Source organism: Homo sapiens, chromosome 4, assembly GCF_000001405.40.
Source record: "Homo sapiens chromosome 4, GRCh38.p14 Primary Assembly".
In the NCBI taxonomy this organism is placed as follows: Eukaryota; Metazoa; Chordata; class Mammalia; order Primates; family Hominidae; genus Homo; species Homo sapiens.
The window spans coordinates 47,027,592-47,052,587 of record NC_000004.12 but is presented as its reverse complement, the minus strand read 5'-3'; the positions used below and the strand labels follow the sequence as shown (position 1 = coordinate 47,052,587).

The 24,996-nt window shown below is 36.7% G+C and overlaps 1 protein-coding gene across 4 annotated transcripts in view; it reads right to left on the bottom strand.

Annotated features, from left to right (window-relative positions):
- Positions 1–24,996, bottom strand: part of GABRB1 (gamma-aminobutyric acid type A receptor subunit beta1) — a 432,801-nt gene that overhangs the window by 373,860 nt on the left and 33,945 nt on the right. For 2 of the 4 annotated variants that reach the window (NM_000812.4, XM_017007986.3), the window contains exons 1-3: positions 20,857–21,021; positions 20,583–20,674; positions 20,104–20,171 (exon numbers count right to left, since the gene is read on the bottom strand). In NM_000812.4, the coding sequence (NP_000803.2) occupies positions 20,104–20,171; positions 20,583–20,674; positions 20,857–20,936 (240 nt within the window). In that variant the 5' untranslated portion in view covers positions 20,937–21,021. Of the gene's footprint in view, positions 1–20,103; positions 20,172–20,582; positions 20,675–20,856; positions 21,022–24,996 lie in introns of those variants that run through there. The other 2 variants (XM_024453977.2, XM_024453976.2) reach the window with 1 other exon arrangement.

Sequence of the window (24,996 nt, the reverse complement as noted above, 5' to 3'; positions counted from 1 at the left end):
CCACAGTACAAATGGGTCTTAAGGCACACTGTGGCTATACTAGCTCCGTACTTCGGAGTTTGTATGCCAAACCACTTTAAATTGATAGCCATATGCTTGTAAGTAATTGCGCATGTGGTATGTATGGGAACTGAATTACCTCTCCCCCTTGCCTGAATGTGTGTTTGTTTGTGTGGGTATCACACTGATAATATTCACCCTTGAGTTTGCAGCCTCAGAAGGAGATCCTACAGGAAATCAGGAGAGAAAACAATGATTATGCCTTGCTGTCATGCTCTCTTTCCTCAGTAGCCTCAACTCACATCTTTCTCATGTTCCTTTTCAGTAGTGACATGGGGCCTCCATATTGCTTCAGTGTAAAAAGGGGAACTCAAGTTTCTTCAGCAATTACAAGGCACAGGTCTTCTGCTTCCTGTATGCTGGTTATAATCATACTTTATCTTATTTATTTATTTTTTGAGACAGGGTCTCACTCTGTCACCCAGGCTGGAGTGCAGTGGCACAATCTCGGCTCACTGCAACCTCTACCTCCTGGGTTCAAGCAGATTCTACTGCCTCAGCCTCCCGTGTAGCTGAAATTACAGGTGTGTGACACCACACCCGGCTGACTTTTGTATTTTTAGTAGAGACGGGCTCTCACCATATTGGTCAGGCTCATCTTGAACTCCTGGCCTCAAGTGATCTGCCCACCTCGGCCTCCCAAAGTGCTGGGATTACGGGCGTGAGTCATGTCACCCAGCCTTAATCATGCTTTATATGTAACTACTAGTCGGCTGACTTTCTTTGAGACTGAAATAAATTAACCTGAAGCCTTTACCGTCTACTATTAAAAGTCCAGTGCTTTCCCTGGGATTTTTGTGAATATCCAAATATGTTTTCCTGGTTGCCTTTGGCTCTTATTGTTTCTTCTGAACTCTTATTATCATTCTGGTCTCAAATACATGGCTCTTCTCTTCCCTGTACTCAATGCTGACCCAGATGTGGAACTCAGAATTCCCAAAAACTATACCAACAAAGCACTACAAATAAAAGCCTTTATGAGGAAGTGGAGAAGCAATGATGTTTTACAACACTGCAATGAAAACTAACATATAATCAAATGAAAACATCCCTGTTTTTAAGTTCTTCTGTTACTCAACACTGAGAAATAAATACTTGCTGAGAACTTCAACCTCTTGTCTAGTTTCTCAGTTTTATTTGTCTCCAATCTGCCTCTTCTCTCTGGTTCTCTATTTTCTATTCTGCTTTCAACTTTTCTTATACTCTTAAGCAGAAAATTTTAGCCCTTCTTCCCTTCTTAGCTCTAAACATAATTTTGCATTCCCAAAGGCTCATTAACATTTCCCTGAAACAAAGGGCCAGTTATTCCGGATATTGCCCATTAGCACTGTGAAACTGGCAGAGCCTCTGAAATCCCCGTCTTTTTTTTCCCTCCTTCCTGCCAGTCTCAGGGAGTTAGAAGGAGTAGCCCAAAGATTTATTTTCCTACTGACATAAACTCTGCCCTCTTCCTGAGGAAGAAGGAGCAGTTTTGATGAGTTTTAATGGCATTTTTCTTGACCCAACACACAGAGACAAGAAAATTAACAGAGAGGGCACACACAAAACCCGAGCCAGAACCCAGGGTGGGCCCAGTAATAACCCATTCATTTCCCATCATGCTGCTTTTCTAGAACAGATGGTAGCCAGATGAGCCTCCATTACTAGTCAATTAAGGAACCATATGGAAAAAGAGAGTGGAAGGAATGGAAAAATGGAAGACAAGAGAGGAAACATCAGTAATATTGAAATTGAATTTATGATTGAAGTTTTTCTCTTATTTATGTGGAGTTGGGAGAAGAGACTGTGAGGAATCAGGAGATGGAGTTGAACATTTGTTGTCAATTCACTCCTGAATGCAACAGGGAAAATCCAGGAAAAAATAGGCTATCTCACAGTGTTGAATGTCTACTTATAGCAAGCCATTTGCAAAGCAGGTATCCAACAAAAATGATAAGCTGGTATTTATAAATTCTTATTCATCAAAATTATTCTTTGCTTCCTTCAACTCTTTGCATTGGCATTTACTTCCCCCTTTGCATCTGAAATTTCCAAAATGCTTCTTGGGAACTTCTAACAAGCAGCTCTTAAAAAAAATATATGTATGTATATATATATACGTATATACATATATTTGTTGCCTGACAGTATTTCCTTTCTACTAACTCTCCAATAAAATTAGAATTAAATGGATTTTGAACTTACAAAATGATGTACTGGTCTGATGATTTCAATTACAAAGTCACTCTGAAATTATATATTTTCATACCTCAGTGAAATCCACAATGCATTATGCCTAACTGGTAACTTTCTTGAAGTTCACTTTGTGCTGCACCCACCTCCCACCCCAATAACTTAGTAACACCTTTGAAGCAAAGGCAATAAAATTCTGAATTGACCTGACCTGTGTGTGCCCGAATGTGAATGGGACAATGTGAATATCCAAATATGTTTTCCTGGTTATAGTGATAGCACATAGATAGTTAAGCATTTGCTTGCTAAACTCCCAAACTACACCTAAGAGAACATATTCTTTAGCTGAGAAAGATGAACAAATACAGCAAGATCTATATGAGTGAGTAGTAATACCATGCCTTATTTATGTACTACCAAAAAGAGTAAATGTGAAAGTCTGTAATGGCAGCAGCAGAATTTAGTGATCTCTCAAACAGCCTACCTCTGCGTTTTTGAAGTACAGAAACAACAGTTTATTTATTTCAAGTTAGCTGTTTTTCCCTAAACTATGTTCTATGACTGTCTTCTACTTTATAAATATACTGTTCATCTGCAGTAAACCCTTTTGTTTTTTTGTTTCTGTAGAATCAAGCTAAATATTTCCATTGCCTTCATTTAGATCAAGCCAAAAGAAACCAAGATTTTTTAAAAATAAAGACGATATTCCTACATGAGGCAGAAAAGTGAAAAATACCTCCTGTAAGCTATGTGGTAATAATAACTTGCTATTTTAACCTCGGATGCCATTTGCATTTCATAATGTAATTTCCCTGTTCTGAAAGGACAGTGATGAAATGATCTGACCTTTACATATTACTATTTGATTTCTCTCTCAGTGTTCACTGGAAGAATTCAGAAGAGCTAAATATACCTGGGTCTTTCTGTCTTTCTCTACCCAAAAATTGGTCGTCTGATTAGCCTCTGTATTCTCCCCTCAAGAAACAGTTGGCATGCTTCTCCCCTTCTGTTGTTGACGTACGGCCCCATTAGAGAATCCTGGAATGGAGAGCAGTTCTGTCTTTCCACCGGCAGGAATCTTGTGAATTAAAAAGTAACAAATGATTTTGGATTATTCGGGTCTTCATCTTGAACTCAAACAAACAAATCGCCTTTGCTAGCAAACCTGACTGGAAAACTATTGTGTTTCCTCCTTTATGAACCATGACATGGATGCCAAAGGAGGGAGCAACGAAAACTTGGATTTGCACCGAAAAACTCCCTCCTCTGGCAACAGTTTTTTTTTTTTTTTTCTCTTCTCATCATGAAAAGATTAAGAGGAAAGGCTCTGTCTATGACAGTAACCCTAGGTAAGAACTAGAGCAAGAACAGCAACCACTTTCCTTCCTTATGGCTTGTTTTGAGGCCTGAAATTCAGAACTCAATTGTTTGGGTAGGATTCTGCCTATCCATTCATTTAGAGAAATAATAAAAGATCTGTTTTTAATGGCAGAATTCAGACTAGAGGAAACTCTAAAGGGAAAGAAATTATTGTTGGATAAAATGAGAAAGGGGGTTAGAAGTCTGACTCTGAAGTCAGACAGCCCTGAGCTTTAAACCCAGCTCTGTTATAAATAAACCTTTCTGGACTCAGTTCTTTATCTGTGAAATAAGGATATTAAATATTCCTATCTCAGGTGACTCTTGTAAAAACTGATATAAAGTATTTATCCTGGTACCTGAGACATGGCATGCATTCATTACATTTTAACCACTATTTCTATTCTTAGCCTTATGGGTTATCTTTTTTCCTGGTCTAAATACAAAAGTACAGATAGACTTGAATTGAATGCATCACGCTTAAATTGAACACAATTTTATTCATCCTGCTCTATGTGTAAGGCTCTTATCCAGCACAGTATGAGGTGTGGTCATTGTCTTCAAGAAGTCCTCATTGCAAAAGACTCCTGGCATTTGGGAATTTAACATCTGCTGTGTCTCCTCTTCATTAATTACTCTGAAGCTCAGTGACATGGCAGCTTTTTCTGAGATATAAGTTTGAGTATTGTGCACCGTAAGGTCACAAGTTAGTCGTTCCAAGAAGAGAGACTTAATTCATAATGGCCTAGCCCAGGGCCTTGTCATTGTCTCTGAATGTGTGGTTATGACTGAATAAATCAATCCTCAAGTATATATACTAAAAAGGTGATTACAATGTGGGGATTTTTGAAGCTATGATGGATCATTTGTAATTTATAAAGTAAAAATTTTTGAACCTCAAAATTTTCCATCAGGAAAGATGTTAAGAGAAATTTACTTTCTGGTCTCACCCTCTTGCCTTTGGACAGCACAGCCATCTAAGCCAAGTAGGACAGATATAATTATCTTTTTTTGTTCTGAAGCTTTCTAAGGATGTACACTTCCCAACTACTGTTAGTAGTTCCTTCCAGCATCTTCTCACTCCTTACAGTCAAGATGCTCTTCCTTATGTCCAATTTAAACTTCATTTCCTTCTCAAGTTAAGATTGTCTCAGAGGGAGGACAAATCCATTATCTCTTCCTGTTTCTGATTAATAACACTTTGTACCTTACATACAGTAGATCCAATATGAATTAAATCAGCAAATGGATCAAACATTTCATAAATCTGAAGACATTAATCAAACTGCTCCTTACTTTTATAAAGTTTAACTCAGGAATAAATAATATTAATTGCTAATGCATTTCTTCCTAGGACCCAATTTCTAGTATTAACCATATTCCCTAAATCTCTGAAACTTTTCTATGTTTAAATGTTACTAGAAATAATGATGTTTTATGATCTAACTGATGTAGTGACCTAATTACCACACATAGACTCTGAAGCTAATTATCTAGGTTCAAATCACAGCTCTATCACTTACTTGTTATATAACTTTGGGCAAGTTACTTAATTTTTTTATATCTCAGTTTACATATCTGTAAAATAGGGATAATAATGATATATACTTCATATGGTTGCTTTATAGATTAAGTAGGTTAATATTCATAAAGTGGTTAGAATAGTACCTGCTTTGTAGATGTGTTTAATTTCTGTTATCATTATCAAGACTCCAGGATTATATTTCCAGCCTGAAGAGTCATGTGAATCTCTCTGTAATTTTGAATACCCTTGGTAATCTTACTGCTACAGATTATTTATTTATTTATTATTTTTGGAAGACTGTTTTGTTTAATTTTTTTTAACTTTTATTTTAAGTTCAGAGGAGTACATGTGAAAGTTTCTTACACAGCTAAACTTGTGTCCAGGGGGTTTGTTGTACAGATTATTTTCATCACCCAGGTGTTAAGCCTAGTACCCATTAGTTGTTTTTTCTGATCCTCTCCCTCCTGCCACCCTCCAGCCTCTGATAGGCTCCAGTGCACGTTGTTCTGCTCTATGTGTCCATGTATTTCATCGTTTAGCTGGCACTTATGACTGAAAACATGCCGTATTTGGTTTTCTGTTCCTGTGTTAGTTTGTTAAGGATAATGGCCTCTAGCTCAATCCATATCCTTGAAAGGACATGATCTCATTATTTTTTAAGGCTGCATAGTATTCCATGGTGTATATGTACCACATTTTCTTTATCCAGTCTATCAATCATTGATGGGCATTTAGGTTGATTCCATGTCTTTGCTATTGTTACAGATTTCCTAATACTATTTTCCCTACTTGGAATATCAATTACCTTCCTACCTAGATTATTCTTCTCCTGCATATCTCAGCTTGATTGCACTTTCTCTGCTATGTCATGAGATCTCATCTTCAGGGTCACTGTGATCTCATATTCAGGACCTTTTTTGGTGCCATTAGTGGTCAATTATGACTTCAGGTAGATAGTTATCTTTTTGTAACTTACCTTCTCAGTGAGATTTTTGGATGTTTCTTAAAAAATAAAGTAAATCCTATAATTTTTAATAACCTTTCACAGTTCCTACCAAGTACCTTTGCTTTTACAAAGTGCTTGATAAGCAGAAGTGAACAGATAAATAATATTTTTGTTTGTTTGATTATCTACAAACTTTGGTGTAAAAACTCTTCTTATCTCATCTACTATAATTTTATTGTTGATATTTACATATGAAGCACTGTATTAGTCCGTCCTCACCCTGCTATGAAGAAATATCTGACATTGGGTAATTTATAAGGAAAGGAATTTAATTGACTCACAGTTCCACATGGCTGGGGAGGCCTCAGGAAACATACAATCATGGCAGAGGGCACCTCTTCACAGAGTGGCCGGAGAGAGAAGGGTAAGCAGGGGAAATGCCAGATGCTTATAAAACCATCAGATCTCATGAGAACTCACTCACTATCATGCAAACAGCATGGAGGAAACTGCCCCTATGTTTCAGTCACTTCCCACTGGCTCCCTCCCACAACACATAGGGTTTATGGGAACTAAAATTCAAGGTAAGATTTGAGTGGGGACACAGAGCCAAACCATATTAAGCTCTCATAACAGTGCCTGGTTACAGTGTAAATGTTGAATAAATAGGATGATGATGATGATAATGATTGCTATAGACTGAATGTGTGTTCCCCACAAAAGTCACATGCCAAAACTTGAGCTCCGATATAACAACATTTGGAGGTGAGGTCTTTGGGAGGTTATTAGGTTGTGGGGGCAAAACCCTCATAAATGAGCCCTTAGGAAAGAGGCTCCAGTAAACTCCCTCACCACTTTCCACCATGTAAGCACACCATGTGAAGGCTGTCTTTGAACCAAGCAGTAGCCCCTCAACAGACACAGAATCTGTCAGTGCCTTGATCTTGGATTTCCCATCCTCCAGAACTGAGAGATAAATGTCTCTTGTTTATAAGCTTTCCAGTCTGTGATACTCTGTTATATCAGCTGAAATGGACTGATGATGATGATGATGATGATGATGATGATGATGATGATGATGATAAAGGAGAATACTATGCTTTAAAATGACCAGTTTTTTCCCCAAGTACCTACTCAGGGTCAGGGAACTATGCTAAAATATTTGTACACATTATCTCATTTAGCCTTCGATAACCTAAGAAGAAAATATCATTTATTTCCATTTTAAAGAGAAATTCAGGCTTTGAGTGGCATACTGTAATCATAAATCCTGGGTTTCCTAGGAAAGTGTTGTTTTACACTTGTTGTCCATGGGTAATTATTAATAGTGCCCATTTTCATTCTCAAAGGTGTATGTTTTGTCAAGGACTTGCATAGTCACTCTAGAGTTAATTAATGCCAACAGAACAGATCTTGTAAGTGGAGGAGCTGTAACTTAAAAAGAAGTGAGAAGTCAATCTGAGAACCCTAACCCTTAGGCTAAGCCCTTGTAAAGCAACACATTTTATTTCCTCCTCATATAAAGGGAGTATCACAAAATATGACATTTAGAGAGGTATGGAAGGACCATATACCAATTGAAATTTTGTTTAAGTTTGAGTGGTAACGTGGTTCTGCTCCTTCTCAGAGTAAGAAACAAGATAAAATTATCAGGAGGGAAGAGGGGGAAATTATTTTGATTTTTATTGTCAGTTCTCACAAAGAAATTTCACAATTAAAAATAATATGAATTTCAACTGCATGATGAAAACCCCAATAGCAAGCAAAAATATTATATTTATTATATCTGAATATGCATAATGTGAGTTAATGTTACCCCTGGTGTCTTGGCATTAAAGAGGGAGAAATTCATTATAAGCCTGAGAGATAAATATGAAATAAAAAATACCAGCACTTAACAATTACACTATTGTACATTTTACACATAACTTACACCAGAGCATATAATCATATATATCTCGTGACACTCATAGCTCTCTGAAACAGGTAAAGCAGAAATTCTTGTTATCATTTTACATGAAACTGAGAATCAAAGAGATTAAGTAAATCACAAGATTTATACTTGAGAGTATAAATTAGGATACAACATCATCCTGACATCTTAAAGTGATTTAAAATTGTTCAAATATAGCCTAACAGAAACATGTTCAAGGGAAAGGTACTTCAAGAGTAAAACCAAAACTATACACTCCAGATCAAGAGTGTCTGGACTTAAAAGATTGTTGGTGTATACTGCCCACTGGACACTGATTTTAACTATGAGATTAATTATTAAAACTACAAAATATTAACGTCATCTTGCCTCGTTAACACAGATGTTACACAAGCAGAGAATGGAGTTAGAGTTGTTGATTTCACATCTTGGGCTACAAATTATTAGGCGTCACTGTCAGATCAAGCAAAATGCTTTTCAAATGCAGAAGATCAGTGTAGGCAACACAAACGCTGTCTCAGCACACCTTGGCCACTTTTTCTACCTAGTTCATATCAACTCCCAAATTCAGGAAATTGCTGATTCTGGGAAAACGTATGAAATAACTCCAGCTTCTTCTTTCTCCTTATTCTGTTTTCTAATCTCTGTCCATAAGCAAACCTGTTCTCTCATGCAACCATTCATTCACATTCTGATATAAAAAGAGTACCTGAAGACTAGCATTATGTTTTCCTCTCTCAAGGTTAGCTACATTTCTGCAGGAATCAAAGCTGAATACATCAAGTTCTAATAATGACATTTCAAGGAGATAGCTTTCCAGTTATTCTGAAACCCCCTTCTGCAGGTGCTCACTAGTTATTGTACAGATAGGGTCCCATATTTTGTTTCACCAACTAAGCTCCACTCAGTGAAATTGAACAGGTTAAGTTTATTGAAAAAGAATAAAGGCAATTGCTTTATTTGAGTTTTGGCTCATATCTCTGTCCATTTTGCAGAACTAAAGGTGATGTATAACTCCTTTAAAATGTGGAACAGCAGAACAGTGACTATGCAAACACATAATTCATCAAGTTAAATTTATGTCTGGTAACAGTGATTTTGAACACAATAGAACAGATGCCATCCTGTAAAATCCTGAAAGTCATTCGTTTCCACAGTTTCAGAGAACCACGTTATGAAATTCCTTCCAAACTTTATGCAACATAGCTTGTGGGGTATGTTGTTTACGTAGCAATGTTTACGTAGGTATAAGAGGCAGACACAAATAACCCACCAAGGACTGAATCCATTTTTCCAGTTTTGTGAATATATCCTACTCTCCAAATTTTTTATCCAGTCTTCCTCTCATTCCCAACTTCGACACTTCTAAAGATCAGTTCTCCCCACATGAAGACAGAAGTTTTCAGTTGGCCAATATTAACCTCTGTCGTGAATCTTCTTTCTCTCTTCTCATTGGCCTCTCAATAGTTGGCTTGGGATTTTTATTTCCCCAATTTTTTCTTTAGGACATGCTAAATGGGGGCAGGGGAGGAGGGCAGGGAAGAGACAGAGAGGTGGTGATGTCAGTGGTAAGAAAATTTCACCACCATTTAATGTGGTAGTTGATTTACCACATTTACTGGTTATAACAAATTACTGTGAGAATGTGGAGATTTCAGACAAAAGTTGACATTTTAAAACAGATCATGTAGCAGCAAGGATAAAATTATGTATACATGAGGTATATGTATAATTTTGTATACATACAAAATGACTAGGCAGATAATGGATGTGGATAGATATATATTACATGCATATATATTTGTGGATTAGACATAATTTTAACTTTTTACTTTTATGTTTAGGTCTTTGGTTACCTTTTAAAATATAACTATTCTTATTTAAAAATCCCTACAGATTTGCTAAAAGGCCCCTTTTCATATGCTACCTTTTATTTTTGATTTTTCTTCTTTTTAAATGTCATTCACTTTGTAATACTCAATCAAATTATTCTTTAACAATTTATTACCTGTATCTAGAAATATTGACAGTCCATGTGCCAGTAAGATGATATTTGGAAAATGAAAAGTAGTGATTATTTTTTAAAGCAGACTATATATACATATATATATATTTGTATATATATACTGTGCACATACTCACACACGTATTTTATATATATATATATATATATATATACTGTACACATACACATACATGTACACATACACATACACATGCATTGATATTTGTCATGAAGTGATTCTGTGTCTGTGAAACTGGCTATGCCATGTGATGAAGCTGTTTCTATGGAAACAGCTCATGATTCATGGTCAACATAAAAAAATTACAGATTAAAGTATAAGGTAGACTTGATAAAGAAACTATTAATTTCTGAATTTAAAAATGTAAATGCTATATTTACTAACAATTTTTATGACTCAAAAATTTCTAGTGAATGTTATTATTCAGTCCCTAAAATATGCTGGGAGTGATAATAGAGAATATGAAGAATATAATTCTAAGCTTCCTAAAGCTTACATAGTAGGGGGATAAAGGCAAGGTTAGGAAGACCTTTATATGTATAATTCCTAAATTATATTGGGTCTTTTGTCTTTTATGAGTCTTGATTTCCTAATATGCCCCAGATATTCTTTCTCCAGTATAATTCTCTCTGGTAAGACTGCAGAAAAGACTCCATAGAAAAAATACGATTTGAAGTAGACCTAGAGGCATTTGGGTGGGAGAGGGTTTGCAGGTGGCAGGAGGTAGAAATAATGGCCACTGACATGAGAAAATGTTCTAGACACAGGTGGGATTCCAAATGAATGTCATTGAACTGTCTCCATGGAGACAACAAAGCTATTTCCCTTGACTAGAAAATTGTGTATCATTCCCTTGAAAATAATAAATCTTAAGAAAAAATATCTCCGTGAGTCATGGAGGGCTAGAGTAGGCAGAGATCCTGAGCTTTCGACAAATCTGTTTCTCTGTTTTCAGGGAAGATACCAAATAAACCCTATCATTCAAATGGGATTCACTCTTAGCAACTTCTCTGATTAATCCATTTAGCAACAAGAGTCAAGGCATCTAACCTCTAATTTTTCCTGATATATCTGAAGACCTTTCATCCATACTCTTTTCAGTAGAGGTAGGGAAAGAACAGCTGATTGCTAACAGCTACCTAAGGGCCCTCTTCTATTTGAATCTATTTCTCTAGCTGTTTCTCTGTCTTTCTCTAAACAAAATAGTATAATCTATGAATAAGACTGCTTAAATAGATTTCCTCTTTCCAGGAGACCAACTTGTAGAGGACAGGGCTCTCTTGAATTCTTGTTTAGAATCATACCCAACAGTCCATTCAAATGTTTTCATTCTTGTGCAAAGGTCCTGAGAGTCACTTTTTAATTTCCTGGCAGGTAAGCTTCATTTCTCAAGGCATGCTGTCAGCCTCATTTGCCCTGCCTGTTATATCCGGTCTCATTTCATCACCAAATACACTTTCTACAAGAACTCACACTGCTTTACACTGCTTTCATGCAATCTCACATGGAAACACAATGTTCCAGAAGGACTCTGAATCACTTTAGCGATACAGTGGAGAAGAGACCAGATGCTGTGTAAGTAAGTTTCCCACACATCTATTTCCCCTACCTATAAGGTTTTATAAAGGCATCTAAAACAGAACACAAAGATCACGCCTCTGGAAGGATTGAAAAGTATGCTCTAAATACTGTCAGAGTCTAGGTCCTCCTAGATAAAAAGCTATATTACTAGGGATAATTAAAGTTGACTCTATTCCATTCTGTCTTTGCCCAGCACCCTTTCTCCCTATCTCTAACCAACGCATTTCACTCACTACATTTATGGGCTTCAGGATCTATCTCTGTAGAGCTCACCTTATTTGTGAACAGACTTGGAAGAAATAGTTCATTGATGTCAATATTCAATATTCTAACTCAATTCTTCCCCAAGTGCCTTATAACATATACTTATAATATACTCTAATTTTTTTTCCTGAAAATGTGTCCACTTCAGCAGTGAAAGAGATGGTGTGGTGCTCCTGGCCCTGGGTTCCCTCCCTAGGCACATGCAGCCCCGATGTCAATCACTTAATATGGAACCATAGATGGGGATGCAGGGCTCATTTCTTCTCTAACCCCTGTCATCCAAAGAGTCACTAAATTCCTCTGATTTGCTTCTGAATATCATTTTTCTGTCTATTCCTATGGAAAGTACTAGTTTAGGCATCTATCACCTCTCATCTGGACCTTGAAACACTCTTAGCTTCCTAACACTGTCCTCAGTTTTAGCCTTCTCTACTTCATCCTCCACATAGCTGCAAGAACCTAAAATACAAAACACAGTTGCCTTTAAACACTTTGTCAGATGTTCTGCATTTCAGGATTAGGGTCCATTTCCTCAGCATAGATATTCCAGCATCACTTCTTTATCTGTTTGCATGTGAGTGTGTAGTACAAATTCTCTTTTTAAAATGAAAGTGGAGGACACATACATGTAAGATTTTTTTAAAGCCAAGAGTTCAAAGGGGTATATAAAAGACAGTAAATATTCCTCTGCAGTGCACTTCTGGTCCTTGTTCCACTTCCAAGATGAATAACTATTACTCATTTTCTTTTGTGTATCCTTTCAGAAATTGTCAGTGCATATACAAACAAATATATGTTTATAGAAAGGCTCCTTTTTACACAATGAGAGCATTCAATGACATTGTCCTACAACTTGCTTTTAGCATGCAGTCTGATCTCTTGACAATCCTCCCTGTGCCTTTTAAGTTTTCGCAATAGGAATTATCTGTAGTTCCCAGAACACTTCATGCTGTTTTCAGGCACACCTCCCAGTGCATATGCCCTTTCTTCTGTGTGGAAATGTATATAGGCTGCAAATGAGAAGAACTTCTACACAATTGCTAACTACTATTCTTTTCTAAGATTCATTTCAGGCATTAACCCTTCATCATGTCTTAGAAACTACCAACTGGTGCTCCCATAGGATCCTATACATACATGTCTCTATCATAGCACCTACCACATAGACCAAGATAACTATGGATGTTTCAAATCCACAGTTCTTCTTCCAAAAATATGCTTTTCAAAAAAGACATTCCTCTAAAAAGAAAAATCTTCACTTCATGATTGGAAACTTTAAATTGTTTTGTCTGTTTTTTGAAAAAGACTATAAGCTCTACAAGAACAGAGACCATATCTAGTTGCCTGGTTTTTTTTTTTTTTTTGTATTTTCTTTTCTGCTTGAGTAGTTGGATCAATGCTACTGGAAAATTATCCTTTATTCTCAAATTCACAATGCAACAACAGATTTTATCGGGGATGTGAGAGACAGGGAAAGATACATTGGTTCACTTAGCAGAAGAGTAGCAATGAAGACTCTGAGGACTCTAAAAGGGGTAACTGGGCTCACTAAAGATAAAAAATGCATCTTTCAGTTTTTTCTTGTGGCCAGCCTTTTTTATAAGATTTCACCACTGATATGAATTAATCGTAAACATTTTCTTAAGCATATCTGTCAAGTAGTGAATAATAGATTGTTAAATGCTACTATTAACGTCTTTCCCTTTCAATAGATAGAAGTCAAGGAACTTCATGAAATGCTTGATCTACTGAAAACAGAAGTATTTTGGGAAAAGGAATTTCAGTGCTCATATGGTTTATGGATGAACTATGTACTAATATTTAGTCAACTATAAACATCTACTAATTCTTCCTCCTATGATTTTCAAGTGTGATTATGTCATTTGAGCCCCCTCACTGAAACCTAAGCCAACTGGAAACATTTAAACCATTCATTTCTCTTTTGAAATGTTTTACTTTCCTTGATAATGCAAGATTTCATTTGTGTATGAGTGTTTTGAAGGTGCTATGAAGTATTTGGGGGCTTGCCAAGGCAAAAATCATCAGAAACTTAAAGAATGGATATTAAGTGGTATTCAGCTAAGACAAACACCCTGGTTTTATCCCTCATTTCTCAGTCACCTCATGGAAGGATTTTAGGCCGGTTGGGTAAATCCTTTGGGATACTCAGATCTTCAAAAATAATACTTTCCTTCTGTTTCACAACAAGTGTTAAAAAAATTATTACTTCAGTTGTGGTGGAGCAGTGTTCCCAGTTTAAATACAATGGACAGCTCCACATAGAAATAATTCCAATTTAGTCTTGGCTCTAATGTTCAATACAATATAAACCAGGCATTAGGCCAGTTTCATTTTGAAGATCATTGCTTCTTGTTGCTGTCTTTGTGAATGTGTTTAAGGAAGAAAAAGTTGGATGAGGATGCCATGACTAATTAAAATAATGATTCAAGAGGCCCTAGATTGCACACAATCAGTACTTCAATGTTCCCAGGAGGCTACATCATTTGCACTCAGTGGGAACTCAATAAATTCTTGTGATTGACTCACCTACCAGGAGAATATGGTATTTAAGACAATCTAGCAAGGGAGTAAGATGGAGACAAAGATTTTTTTATTTTGAGGGAGTCTAAAATCTTTAATATCTAAGTTTTTATTATAGGATATTTGAACTGGAAAAGGGTTTAGCAATTATGTAATTTAGCTTCATTTTACAAAGGAGAAACCTACAGAAGCCAAATTACTCACTCAAAGTCCTAGGCTATTTTTTACTAGTCTAGTAGTTAGGAGCCAGACCCTGGAGACAGGCTGCCTGGTTTCAAATTTTGACTCTGCCATTCACTAGCTGTGTAACTTCTGAGTAAGGTATTTAACCTAACAACATTTCCCGCTCTCTCAGCCTCAGTTTTTCAATCTGTAATGGTGGGGAGGGGTAAGAATTGTATAGCATTAAGTAAAGGATTAAATCGCTATTAATGTAAAGCACTGATAACCATACCTCACATATGGAAAATGTTCAGTAAGTTACTATTTATTTTCATTGTATTTCACACTATAATACCCAGTCTGATTCTGCAATCCTAAAATCCCAGGCTTTCAAATGTAAACTCAAACTTTAAAACAATCTAGATAGGCTTGCTTTAATGTGGCTTAGAGTAAAAAAAAAAAACAAAAAACAACAACAACAACAAAAAAAAACGAATATATATATGCTATCTCCAAACAGACAGGCAAAGGGAAGATTTTCCTTCCCCAGCCTCTCCAGACGTTATAAAATTGTAACCCAGAACCTAAGAGAAAAACTTGTGTGATTACTCATATAAGAATAAAATGTATTTACATGCTAGCTAATACCTGTTTCTGCTTTTAAGTGGTACTCACCTATTTGTTCTGTTTGCAAAGGAAATTCTATTATAACCTCAGAGAACTTACTGACAGCATCAAGAGTATGTTTAGGCTATTTTACAAAGTTATTGCTAGCTCCTCAGTGGTGCAAAAACAGTTTGCAATGTTCTTTATTCTGAAGAAAAAAGGCATAGGTGTCCCTGTAAAGCAACAGGATAGTACTGTGGAGTTACTGTACTTGGAAATGTTTTCATTGCCATCATTTGAGATTGGTTGATTCACAGGTATTAATACAGAAAAGAAGACTATTTATTAGTTTAGGTCAAGCCCCATCTCCAGGCTCCTGCCTTTATCCTGTTGCTTATCATCATCATCATCAATTATGGCATTAACTTTCCCTTTAGAGAACAGCTACCTGCAACTTAAATAATAACATTCCTAAAGAAATTTTAATGGAAAAAAAAAGTTCATTTCTTTTTTTCTTTACTTTTCTTTCTTTTTTTCTTTTTTTCTTTTTTTTTAAGACTGTTTTGCTCTATCACATAGGCTGGAGCACAGTGGCACGATCTTGGCTCACCGCAACCTCCAGCCTCCTGGGTTCAAGTGATTCTCATGCCTCAGCTTCCAGAGTAGCTGGAACTATAGGCACGCACCATCACACCCAGCTAATTTGTATACTTTTGGTAGACATGGGGTTTCACCATGTTGGCCAGGCTAGTCTTAAACTCCTGGCCTCAAGTGATACACTCGCCTTGGCCTCCCAAAATGCTGGGATTACTGGTTGGGGCCACTGTACCCAGCCAATTTCTTAATTAAGCTAGAACTTAGGATAATGTACTACCTTGATATTCAAAGTGCAATCTATATACCAGCAATCAGCATTGCCCAGGAAAAATGCAGAATGTCAGGCCCCATCCCACACCTCTGATTTGGAATTTGCATTTTAATAAGATCCCAGAGTGATTCACCTATATGTTAAAGATTGAGAAGCACTGACCTAGAGAAATTCATGTGGGGACTGGGAATCTGACAAGCAGTTACTGTTTTGAGTCACCACAGTGATAGTAATGAGATATAATTGAAGTATGTACCAGAAACTTCCAGAGTCTAATATTAAAATAACCACAACAACAGAAACAGTGAATTTTAAGTGGATATTTGGTAAATTAAATTTGTCTTTCATTAAGCATTATTTATAAAATTGGCTCATTTTCGTTTTTGTCATCGTTGTTCACTGTAATGTCTGTAAGAACATTCACTGTTATACTCATTCATGCATGAAGGAAGGAAAGACAATGAATCCATGATAGCTATCTCATATTGGGAACAGCTTGAATTGAGTCCTGCATTGAGTCAGGACTCATTCGATGTAAGGTCTTCTAGGGGTGGCCATTTGGACCATCGTGTCTTCAGATTAGGTACAGAGAGCTGCCTGGTTGGAACTCCTACTTGGTAATCAGGATCCACCTCTTGAATAAAAAGGAACAGCTAGTCACTGGAATTTGAAATACAAGAGTTCAACTACTTGTTAGAAGGTAGTTAATATCATGTTTCCCCAAACTACTGTTCGAAGAGAAAATTTGCCTACTACTGTCTGTGTTTTACTGGCTTTATAGTAGCAGATGTTAGTGGTTATGTTAAGGACAATTTCTGGGAGCTCTTGTCTCCATTTACTCCAACTGCCTCCTGTTCATCTTTAGTCAGTCCTCTTTGTGCGTGTGTGTGTATGTGTGTGTGTGTCTGTGGCTTGGCAGAAACAGTTAAAAGACAAGGTTTGAAGGTTATAATATATAAATGGAAATCATGGTGGTTTTTTAAGATGACAGTTTAGAAAATGGTAACAGTATGTAGTTGCTATCACACAAACAGTATATCCCATGATGCCAAAAGAACAATCCTTTCTAATTTAATCAATAATATTATTGCCTGAAAAGTCTTGTTCTCAAGTAGATATGTTTATCTACATCGGCATTATTCTTCACAAGTTTTGCATTCACTGCTTAGAACCAATGATTCTTGATTGTAGAGATTCTTTACTATGTAAAGATTGCTTTTGTTTCTTAATTTGTGAAAAATTAAGAAAACACTTAATTTTTCACAAATTAAGAAATCAGATAATACTCTTGATACGATGTTAGTCTGTAAAGCAGACAATGTGTAAACCAATCAGGGATTATATTTTACTTGGGGAAGCAATGGTAAAGAACAAAAATGAATGGAACCTAGTTCTCAAATCTACTAATTTAATGCACAATTATGTCATTTTCCCAGCCATGGAATGGGTAATAATGGTAATAAATAAAAACATAAATATAAGCAATGTTTTGGAAATTGATTCAACTTGCATTTTCTTAAAAACTATTTTTATGATATTATTGTCCATTCTCTTTGTTATATTCTTGTCATTTAATGTAGATGAAAATTTTCTATTAAATTACTCAAGTTACTGCCTATCAGGGCACCGAAACATGCTTAATACAAAAAGCAATAAGCAATAAGTCTTATTTTCCATGGACTTCCTACCCTATTTATATTAGCTAAATATCACAACATATAATAAACAATTCTCTTTTGGGGGTGCGGGCTAACCATCTGAGTTGTGTTTATACAGAACCCTCAATTTTAAAAACATTACTCTTTATTTCCATTTTTCTTGGAGTTATTTCCAATCTATTTATTTCAATGTTTTGTCATAGATGACAGAAGATAAAATAAACTTTGGGTTCTGTTGATAGTGCTCATTAAAAGGAGAAACAAGAAAGAACAAGTAAATCAAGGTTTATTATTTTTCAACTTTGAGTGGTTTCTATTTTCTAATCATGTCTGTAACATTGTTGTGGAAAGGTAATGGGGATTGTAGTAGAACAGGTATTTTCAAAGGCTTATCAGCTGGGTGAATACTTTTGAAAAATCAAGTGCATACACACGTGTTGCTGTGAGTAAACAGACTGTATTATTTAATCATTAGGAAGAAATGTCCAGTGGTATTTCAATTAAAGTCAATCCTTGTTCTGAGCTTATGTATGAATTCAGTTGAACAACTAATTATACAGAACTTTTTGTTACGGTGGTTGTTGATTGCAGCAACTTCCCTATTTAATTGAGTTTTAAAAAAAACTGAAAAGGGGTATGTCAATATAGCCAACAGAATTATATATTTTTTAAAATTCTGAAAAGCATGACACTCTACACGGCAAGGTAGAACAAAGGCTGCATTTGCTTTTTGAGCTTTTTAAATCTTCTATTTTATCAATTATCTGTGGATGCTTACAAGATACCAAAGGAAATGATTGAAAAGGAAAAATATTAACATTATTAATCTACATGATACAACTTGTTAAACTAATTCATTGTCTAATTTGTCCAGTTGCATTCGTGTAGATTAGGCACATATTATTACATTCCTCAGAGTGTTTCTAAATAATATGTTTTGGGTTACTTTGTGGTGTTAACATGTATGTAAACAGAATATAATAAGTCAGTTTGCCAAATGAGAAATATTCATTGTGTATTACGTTTTTAAAATTGAGTTTCTTTTTCCAGCACGACAATCAGAGACATTTACAAATAGTATTTTAAATACGTTATTTGAAGCAGGAGCCGCTACAACTACAAAATACAGAAATTAAATAGTCACACTTTTTATTCTATTCCTATTCAATAAGCTATAGACATATTTATTTCGACCCTAACATAACCTAAAAAGGAAAAGAAAAGAATTCTTAAACCATAGTATATTAAAATAAAACGACACAGTAGGAATGAAATGAAAGACAATTCAATAGCCTTTATAGCCATAGAGTGATACAATCTCAAATGGTTTTACTCTTTAAATTATTCAGGATTTATAAATTTCTGCCGCCATAACATTTTTTCACAAGTGGAATAAAAATGGCATTTTGCTCACGTAGATCTAGCTGTTCCCTGGGTGGTTGATTCTAGAAAAGCAACAGGCTTTTCCGTCTTACGAGAAGCAACAGTTAGAAACTCTAAGTAGAAAACTCCTACACACAGTGGACGGAACCAGCCAACAGAGAAAGTGGCAGCTATTTCAGTTCATTTTGCAATAGCTTCCAAAAAGAGAGGGAAGAAATATATAAAAGAATGTTGACCCCTTTGAAATGAAAGGACTGTGCTGTGTTACTGTCGCCCCCTCTCCCTTCCAACGTCCCTTAAATTATCAGGATTTTTAGGCATGCTTAGGTTTCTAGAGTAAGGTGAAGCAATATGACTTGATTTATTCTGTTTCAACTTAAATTTGCAAGATGCAGTAAGACAAATTCATAACCTCCCGCAAGAGAACAATACAAGCCTACCCAGGCTCGGGCACTTTTCCTACTAGCAAACATGGACTGTTGTCTTAGCCTGTTGCTCCTGCCACCAGGTGTGCCTGAACCTGGAGAGAGAGGACACTTTGAAACCCAGACTGTGCTCTCGGTGGCAGGGCCTTGGTGCATCCGGGCTCGCGGACTGCGAGGGCCATGGGGATTGCCAGCACCGCGCCTGGGGAGGTGATGGCTGCCGACCACCGGTCCGGGGACCCTAGTGCAGGCCGCCCGGCTGCCAGCAGATGGTGCCCTCCTCATCCAAACACGCAGGGAAACCCAGCTAAAGTAACGCTCAGACTCCGCCCCAGCAGATCCACGGCGCAACAGTCACTCGTCCTTCCCAAAATAGTGCCGAGCACGTTTCCCCTGGAACACCGCAGTAGCCCGTGTGTGTCGAAATTACAAACCAGGGGCGACCGGGTGTGTGTGCCGGAGCGGGGAGCGGGTGCGGAGTGGGACCTCAGGGGCCAGGGGCGAGGTGACCGCCAATGAAACGCAGAGGGCAAAGGGACCTGTCCATTTCCCATCTGCGTAAGCCGAACCGCCGGGCCCCTCGGGAGGCCACTCACCATATTCACTTCGGAGACCATGTCTATGCTGGCGACATCGATCCGCATCCCAACGTCGACGGGGGGCCCTGCCGGGGAGGTGGGCCACATTAGGAACAGATTCTCTCAGTGACAGCAGGCTGGGGAGGGTCTGGGGGCTTCCCAGCCCTTACTCCATTCTTAACGGGCTCCCTCCCTGCTCCCCCCACCACCCCTTTCAGGGGACTGCCTGGGAAAACAGGTGTGGGCACACGCGTGATGCAGTGACTATGCAGAGGGTGTGTCGGCCCGGGAGAAGGTCGCCTCCGCCTGAGGATTCATCCACCTGAGACTGGGGACCCGGGGTGTGTGTGTGTGTGTGTGTGTGTGTGTGTGTGCCCAGGGTATAGTGCACGCTTACGAAAATGACATGCCTTTTCTTTTTTTTTTTTTGACATTTATCTTTGACAGAAAAGGAGAACTAAGGATGGGTTACAGGTTGAAAAAAGATGAAGCGTTACCTCCGAAGTCCGGCCGCAAGCGAATGTCATATCCTTTGAGCAATCTGTCCACTGTCTCTTTCACGTATGACATGTTGCTGGGTTCATTGGTGCTAAGGGGAAGAAGTAGGGACCGTATTCAAAATGAGCACAAACTGTGAGCACATATAAAAAGATACAGGCACACCTACCCCCAAACAACAAGATACATGATCCAGCAGACACGTAAAAAGAAACATACCAAGAAAAAAAGAGAGAGAGAGAGAGAGAGCGAGATTCAACAACAGCAGCTCACCTGTGTGCACAACAGACCATGGTAATCATCACAGGGAAAGAGAGAAGCCCCAGACTCTCTCGATTTTGTACTGTCCACATTACTAACTCTGATTAAAAGAATTGTCTTTTCTGCGAAGATTCAAGGAATGCAACTTAGTCGGCTGCTGGGCAGTAATTCCCGAATGGACCTGCGCATGCGCAGAGCGCGCTCACTACCAAAAGACACCTTGTGCCTTGCAAACAATATTCCTAGTGGAACAGGCAACAGATTTCAATCCCTCTAAAGTTCCTATTTGGGGTGCTCCATGTCCTCCGGGTAGTCAGAGACAAGCTGCTGTTTCCACGCAGGGGATCCTACGAGCATGTGTAAACGGAGTTTCCTTCATGCATTGGAGGTTGCTATGTTGATTTCATTTCTGCCCTCAACCTGATTTTGTTTTTTTTACTGGGCGCTCAGTGATCTGGCTAAGGCTGCCTGTGATTGGCATCTTTCGTTGACAGTCAGGGAGGTCCTAGAACGGGGACTCTGGAGGAGGGTCTGTTGTTCTCTGGTTGCCTGTGGCGGGCACCGGGAGGATGTGATCAGCGGGGGTTGTGGGTGGGGGTGACTGGGAGCAGGGAAGAGTGGAGAGAGAGGGAACGGGAGAGTTACTAAAGGTACAGAGGAAACTCAGGACGTATTTGAGAACTCCAAAAATTAGGTGCCCTTGGGAGGCATCCTAGGACATCTGGCTTGGTGTAGACTTCTGTAGGAGGCAGAGTAGGAGGGGCAAGCCAACTTTTCTTCCACCCCACTTTTCTTCCCTCCCCTTGTCGTTTTTCATCCAGGTTGGGAAATGAGGGAAACAAAGGATCCAGCAGCAGTTCTGGGCAGGCAATCTTTTTTTCTAGGGCCATCCACTGCAAGCCCCACTTATCCTCCAGGTTGTGATAAGAAAAATCTCCTTCTTAAATTGACAGCATTTAAGGTGGTATTTGTGACCCCTAGCAGAACTCTGAAACATCCAGACAGTTTAACCTCTGTTCGCCAGTAGGTTGGGATTCTGCAGGAGCAAGTATTGTTTGAATTAAATCAAATTCAGTAACTTCGATTCTACAAATGTCATTGAGCACATGTTAGGCAGAAGGCCCTGGACTAGGTGTTTGTTCTTTTGTTAAATAGTATATATTAAATTTTGTTGTGGGCATTCTGGGACTTATAACTGATTCAAAAAGGGTTCTTGTCCTAGAGAAATTCACATCTAATGGGAGAGGGACACACACAAGTGTAAGTAAAGCGAATTGTAATCCCTACTCCTATTATAGTCTGCTGCTTACTTTTATGAGGGAAAGAGGAGACAGCTTAAAAATTAGCTTCTAACTAGGATGGAAGTGTCTCAAGGTCAAGAAACTTATGCATATTCTTAGTATTTCCCTACACAGGAGTTACCAAACAAAAAAACGTAATAGAAAAATTTATTCCATTACAATAATAACAAAAAATTCTAATGTACCTAGGAATAACTGGGGGAAAAATATGCACAAGAAGTTTAGAGTGAAGGTACATAACATTATTTAAATACACAAAATATGACCTAGATAAATGGAAAATGTACCATATGGGTAATTGGGAAGACTCAACATTGTAAGGATGTCAATTCTATCCAATGTAAGAAATATAACCAATTTGAATCAAAATTCCTACATTCTAAATGGAAATGAATAAACTAATTCCAAAATTCAAATAGAAGAATGAGGGGGTAAATAAAAGCCAAGAAAACCTGGAAGAAGAAGAAGAAAAAAAGAGAAGGAATATGGGGGCATTTGCCTTTGAGATATCAAGACATTATTGTGCTATATAGAAACTGAATCAGTTTGTCTTTGGCATGGAATTCATGTAGGGATAAAAAGCAAAATAGTACGAGCAAATAGAGAGCACAGAAATACTCCTCTATTTTAAGAGAAGTAGGAAAAGATGAGCTACTCAATAAATGTTGCAAGACAATTTATTATCCATAAGGGAAAAAAGTAGATCTTTACATCATTACATACATGAAAATATATTACAGGTAGATACGTAACTTTAATACAAAAAACAAAACTTTCAAAACTTTAAACTATATAGGAGAATATCTTTATGACTGTGATAAAAGGAAAGATCTAAAGATGAACAAAGTTATAAATGATAAAAAAGATTATTGCGATAACTATGTTAAAATGTAACCTTCTTTAAATCCAAAGCTTCTTCTGAAAAGTCAAGTTATACATAGAAAGAACATGTTTTCAGCAAATTTAACCATCAGAAGGTTTGTATAAAGAAATTACCAGAAAAAAAAACTTCCAGAAGTAAATAAGAAAAGATCAAAAGCCACTCTAAATAAGGAATTGCAAATTAAAGGAATTGTACACTATTTTAAACTCATGAGATATGCAAAACTTAAGAATATTAAAAATTGGCTTTTAAAACTCCATATATTTTCAGTAGACATATAAATTGATCTAAACACTTTGTACCACTCTTTGGACATACTAGTAAAGTCAAAGATGCCCATGCTCTTTGGCCCAGAATTGCTACCACTCAGAATATACCCTAGTGATAAACTCATGCAGTCTAAGAATATTTATGGCAGTGTTGTTTTTAGTAGTGCAAAACTGGCAACAATTTTTATTAATTGGAAATAAATAGGAATATAATCACACAATGTAATACAACAGTCAAAATAGTTGAATGTCTACATGCTTCTACACTGACAAATCCCAGAAGTAAAACACTGAGCAAAAACGAAACAAGAGCAAGGTGCAGAATGATATAATGAGCCATGATAACATAAATTTTAAAATATTTAAGTGTAAAACCCAAAAGATATATTATGTACATATACACCATATATATATATATGGTATATATACCATATATACACATATACACCATATATATGTATATATACCATATATACATATATATACACATATATACACATATACATATATATGGTGTATATGTATGTGTCGGGGTGTGTGTTTGTGTGTGTATGTATATATATACACATACACAGAATAGAGAACAAAAATAAGAAGGATACCACACTTTAAGGTTCAAATGAATCTACAATATTTTATCAAAAAAATTTCATTCCAATTAGCCACAACATGATATGTGGGTGTTCATCATTCTACTCTCCATATATTTCTAGATATTTGAAATATTTTACAAAAAGCTGATCAAAACTGATAACGAAGTGACCAATTAGGAGATACATTTGCAATTTATATTTTAAAATGTTTATGCCAATCAATGAGAGAAATAAATGTCTAATAAATAATGAGCAAACAATTGTAACAAGCATTTCACCAAAGAATCTCTAATATTTGATAGCAGAGTAGGGTGACTGTAGTCAGTAACTTAATTGTACATTTTAAAATAACATAAACAGTGTATTTGGATTGTTTGTAATTTCAAGGATAAGTGCTTAAGGGGATGGATACCTCATTCTTTATGATGTGCTTATTTCACGTAACATATCTATATCAAAACATCTCATGTACCCCATAAACATACACACCTAGTATGTACCTGCAAAACTTTTTAAAAAATAGAAAATATTTAAAAAAATAATTAAGTGACCAATAAATATATTGTAAAGTTTCAAGCTCAGTAGTAATCAAATGAATACAATTTTTAAAATAGATATGAAGTACCATTTTCACTTGTTGGTTTGCTAGTTTAAAATGGTTTAACCTTAAGTATCATGGAAGCTGTGGAAAAATACAATTTCATATACTTTGGGGACAGTATAAATTGCCACAATTTATTTTAAGGATGATTTGTAATACTAATAGTAATATAATATGTTATTGGATGCATGTATTGGTGGCATTTGCCTTCTGTTCAATTGATCAGTTTTTCTGATTTAACCTAATATGATATAATTTTATTATAATCACTCATTGTTAGAAAAGTATGAATTTTGATAAGGCAGCAACACCATTATTGCTTTTCAAGATATTTACATATCCTTTGTTATGTTTACATACTTTATTTTCTAGCTTAAGTATAGCATTAATTTAATACAATCTAAAAATCTCATGTTATTTTTATATTGCATTAAATATTCTAATTAACTTAAGAAGTCATTTTAACCTGTGTTAATAGGAATGGCACCACTTCACTTTTTGCATA